At 52.6% G+C, this 5,024-nt stretch overlaps 1 annotated feature.

The window, feature by feature from the left end:
• Positions 647-1,562: an enhancer, noted in NCBI's record as "H3K4me1 hESC enhancer chr18:76447079-76447994 (GRCh37/hg19 assembly coordinates)". NCBI's record gives its function as "activates a minimal SCP1, AML or CMV promoter by ChIP-STARR-seq in primed H9 embryonic stem cells {active_cell/tissue: H9 hESC(primed)}" and the evidence as "EXISTENCE:reporter gene assay evidence [ECO:0000049][PMID:30033119]".

The following is a 5,024-nucleotide window of genomic DNA, read 5'->3' as shown; positions in this document are numbered from 1 at the left end:
CAGAGGTGCCAGGGCCTGTAGCTATTCTACCCAGCCCGGGCCGATCCTGGCATCTGTTCCCAGGACTCATGGGTCCCTGACTCTTAGGTTGCATTTGTGGAAGCAGAGAACCTGCTTTCAGGATGTTCTGAGGGCGTGTCCTCAGGCCAGGGATGGAAAGGGAAGCAAAGAGGGCAGGAAAGGAGGAAGGTCGGGCCCCACCCGGCCAGGCCGAGTCTGCCCTGGGCACGGAGAGTCCGTGGTGCCAGCCCACAGGCAGCGGCGGTCCTGAGGGGCCCTGTGTCCCAGTCGACGCCTGCTGCTATGACAAAATGCCACATGCTGGGTGGCTGAGGGACAGAGAATGCCACATGCTGGGTGGCTGAGGGACAGAGAATGCCACATGCTGGGTGGCTGAGGGACAGAGAATACCACATGCTGGGTGGCTGAGGGACAGAGAATGCCACAGAGAATGCCACATGCTGGGTGGCTGAGGGACAGAGAATGCCACATGCTGGGTGGCTGAGGGACAGAGACATTTAGTTCTCACTGTTCTGGAGGCTGAGCATCCAGGTCAGGGCCCTGGCAGGTCAGGTGTCAGGTGAGGGCCCGATTTCTGGCTCTTGGAAGCTCCTTCTTGCTGTGCCCTGTGTGGTGGTGAATGACAGGCCCTCCTTCCAGGGGGACGCATCCCTTCCTTGAGGGTGCCACCCTCACAACCTTATCACCTCCCAAAGCCCTGCCTCCTGACACTGTCACCTTGGAGGTTAGGACTTCAACACGAATTTTGGGGGGACACATTTGGCGACTGGTAGGCTGGCATTGGCTGCAGTGACAGAGAGAGGCGCAGCCCTCTGGGGGTTCTGGTCTGAGCCAGGCATGTTTCCGAGTGGTTGGCCAGCAACATGGCTCTGGGGCGAGGTGGTGACAGCTCCCAGGGCCTGGGGCCCTGTGAAAGCAATGTTGGCTCTCTCAGGACTTTGGGGGCTGGTGAGGCCTCCATGGCTGGGCAGTCAGAGCCCGGGTGCACCTGTGTGTGGTGGGGAGGGACAGGTGGCGGGGGGACAGGTGTCCTTGCCATTCAGTTCAGCTGATCTAGACCTAGGTGGACAGCACAACCTCAGGCAGGGGCTGGCGGCAGGGCCCCAAGGCAAGGTGGGGAGCCTGAGTGGGGGAGCAGAGGGGGTTCCGGAGGGAGGAGCCTGAATGGGGAGCCCGAGGGGAGGGCTCTGGAGGAGGTGGTCTGACCCCGGTCCCCCTCGTGATGCCGGTTACAGGAAACTGTGACAGGTGAAGTCCTGTCTTCGGGAGCAGACTCTGAAACTGCCCCACAACACTTGAGCCTGCAGCTTGTGCCTTTTCATCTGACCTTGGACTGGAGAAGCCGCCATGTAGCCATGAAGAGCAAAGCCGTAGGGCCCAATGGTGAGGGTTTGAGAGCTGTGTGGGTGTGCGCTCAGAGCTTATCTGAAAATCACGATAGCTGTTACTACTTCATTCTGTTGTCACGAACAGCATGGCCCCCGATTGCCAAGACAGGTTTCCTGATAGATACATAAACGAATAATCCCTCAAACTCAAGTCTGGATCTACAATATTCAAAGGAGGGGAGCAGGCATTGCACTGTAAGTGATATACTTTATCTGGAAGACATACTTTGCCATTACAAAGAGGTCAAAAGCACTTCATTAAAAATATATGGTCAGAAGAAAGAACCAATTATCGTTCACATGATATGAGTGATCAATATAATTAAGAAATGCACTCTCAATAAAAAGACTAATGAACAGTATATCCTAGCAGAACTGATATTGTATGGGCAATTAAATATTTATCAAGCATCAAAGCACAGCGAGATGTTACAGGATCCACAAAATATATTTTGTTGCTAAGGAATCTATTCCAGTACAATAATTCCACACAGCACAGGGAGGGTGTGGTTGATGCTACCGACGGGGCAGAAAACCTAAGCTCCAGACATTCAGACGAGCGTTCCCAAGTATTCTTATTTCTGTGCCAAATACCCAAGGCATAATATTCAGAGAAAATTCAGTTAATGAAAAGATCAGTCATATTATCTTGCAACTGTGCCTCTTTGGTAAAAAAGATAGATAAACTGGATGGCGGGTTTGCTTAGAAGGAGGTGACAGAGTGCACCTTCACTGTCTCTCCGTCCGAAAATAGAAGCAGAGGGAGGACGTAAGTCAGGTTTTTGGAAAACGCGTGAAGTGGTTTCTAAGTCCAGGGAGTGTGGTGTGAAGCATTTGTCTCACTCGGCTGGGGCTGGGGTAGAGGAGGCCAGCGGCCGCCCTGGGCGTCGTCCACACCCCAGTGACTCAGTTCGCTGGGTTAGCTTCTTTCTTCCCAGCAGGATTCGGCGTTCCGGGTCTTCCCTGACACCCAGGGGCTCCAGGATCCTGGCGCCTCTGATCTGGGGCACGGGGTGGGGTACCATCTTTAACGCTGGGCCCCGGGTCCTTCCCCTTAGGGGACTGATGAGCAAAGACAGCCTGCAGGTCGTGCACCACAGTTACAGTCAGCTCCGGTGTAACAGGTGTGAACTCTGCCACCACCGCCCGTGGGCAAGAAACCGGGCACGCAGCTCCCGTCTAACACAGCTTTTCTGTGTCCAGAGAGAGGAGGACGGATTGGTAAGGATCCTGAGTGCTTGCTATGGCCTCAGCTATAAAAATCATCCAGGCTTGGCGTGGATATTTTGCAAAAGGTGGGACGTAAGACTTGTGAGAATTCGCTGCAAAGCGGGAGGCGGGATGTGGAGGCAGCTTCCTCTGCGACAGTTCTGGAGCCATGTTCATTCACTCAGCCGGACGTCCACTGAGAAGCTCCCCAGACCAGAATATAACGTCTAGTCATGGCTTCTTCCTCCAGTCCCTCCTAGGTGGGACAGTGGGGCAAGGTGGCAGAGAGGTGATGGTGGACACAGGGGACATTCACAGTGTGGGAAGTGGCAGGGCTGAGATCGGGAGAAACAAGCCCTTCCTTCTGGGTGTGGATGCTGGGGAAGTCCAGAAGGCAGCATTTCGGCAGAATCTTGGCACTGGGGAGGAAGCAGAGCTGGGCCCCGGGGCAGCAGCGTCAGAGCCTCGAGCCTCTGGGGTGGATGGTGGGGGCGGAGGGATGAGTTGAATCTCAGGACCACGCCTGAATGGCTGTCAGCAGCTGGGTCCCTGCTGGTCCCTGGGCCCCGGCCTCCCCATCACCATCACCTGAGACCTGCCCCACGTGCTCAGGCCCACCCAGACCCACCCAGCTGAAGGCTGCCTGTTAACCGGGCCCTCCGGTGAGTGCTGGCAGCTGAGACGCTCTGGCCAGAACCATGTTTGGTGGCGACCCTATATTAGGGGATGATTCCCTGGAGAGTTCCTGAAGAGTCTTCAATCCTTTGCGGGGTAAAACAGACAGGAATGTGTTCACCAAGGGCTTCCCAACTCTTCTGTTTTCCATAGAGACAAAATGGAAAATGATCTCCAACACAGAAATGGATCCACTAAAATAATTAGGACATTTTTGATGTAACAACAGAAACAGTGCCCATAGCAGGTGGGCGCTAAAACCTCCTAGACATTGATCACCGTAACGAGCAGAGGCGCGGAATTGGAGGTGCCAGCTCTGATAGGGAAGAGCATTTGCTTCCATTTTTCCTTTACCAGCCCCTCAAAGGAGAAGGCTTGCCTGCAGTGTCTGCGCACTTGGGATGTCACACTCTGTATTATATTACCTGGGATATCGAGGTTAATACAGACACCTTTAAGACTGTTGGCCCCCAGGGACGGTTATGGAAATAAGGTGTCGATCTCAGAATCCTCTCAGTGAGGAAACAATGTTAAATAAATAGAAATAAATAAATAAGTCTCAAAAAGTAACTCACAAACATTTTTGCAAATATAAAGTGCGTGAGCTATTGTATCCTGAGGGTATAGAATTAACTTGCACGATGATAATTTATATTTTATGCGAGTTTTATTTTTATACACCTGCTTTTCTTTGCAATTCATGAAAAAACATATTGATATCAAGACAAATGTGCTGTCACGGAATTCATAATCCTGACTGGGGGATCTCTCATCACTGTGACGTGTCTCTTTTATGCTAACTCTAGCAATTCAGAAAAAAATACAGGTCATAAACAGCTAATAAAACTTCCCCATTTGTTAGTCAGATACGTTTTCTTCCCATTCCAGAGTCAAGTGGTTCTTGGCTTTGAAGGAAGAACAGGAGTTGAAGGAGAGGAGAAGAGTTTGTGTGTCCAACCAGAAGAGCTACCTACCCAGCTTCCTGCCTGGTTAATTGCGGCAGGTTTTGCTTTAGAGTTCAGTTTTGGGGGTTTCAAACTATGGATATGAGAGACATCCAGGGTAGTCCATTCCAAAATCTGAGTGTATTTGAGGTCCCAGAGTGTGGTGGGCCTGCAAAGGGTCAGCACCCTCTTTCTGTAAAGGGCTGAAGAGCTTGGATGTGGCCATGGCCGGACCTGTGGCCTCGGCTACAGCCACTCACCTCTGCCTCAGAGCAGAGACAGCCGCTACGTGCGATGCAGCCAACAGGACGTCATCTGTGCAGCTGGATTCTGAACTGGTGAGATTTCCACATCATGACATATTCTTCTTCCCTTCATATTTCCATGTGTTTAAAAATGTAAAAGTCATTCTTCGCTCGTGGCTTGTACAAAAGTCAGTGGTAGGTGGGTTTGGCTGTGGCCGTGGTGGGTGAACCCTGCTCAGAGGCCCCGGAGCCGGGCTTTGGGCTCTGATTCTGTGGAGTGATGGATGCGTCGTCCACCAGTGGGGAAACTGTGCCTGCCTCGCCCTCCCAGTCTGAGACCCCATCTGTCTGATGTGGGGGCCACCTCGCCATCTCCACAAAGGCTTGCTGTGGTGGTTCGGGGCCCCTGGAGGGGGGTGCCCTGGGCACTTGCTGTCAGTAGACTGGATTGAGTGTATTCTATTCCTCACCTAGAGATGAACGAGCTTCCAAAATCTGAACAGCGTGGTGACTTGTCAAGCCACTGGGCAGCGACCGAGTTT

Source organism: Homo sapiens, chromosome 18 (assembly GCF_000001405.40).
Source record: "Homo sapiens chromosome 18, GRCh38.p14 Primary Assembly".
Lineage (NCBI taxonomy): Eukaryota > Metazoa > Chordata > Mammalia > Primates > Hominidae > Homo > Homo sapiens.
Note: the sequence above shows the minus strand (reverse complement) of the source record. Positions and strands in the feature narration are given on the sequence as shown.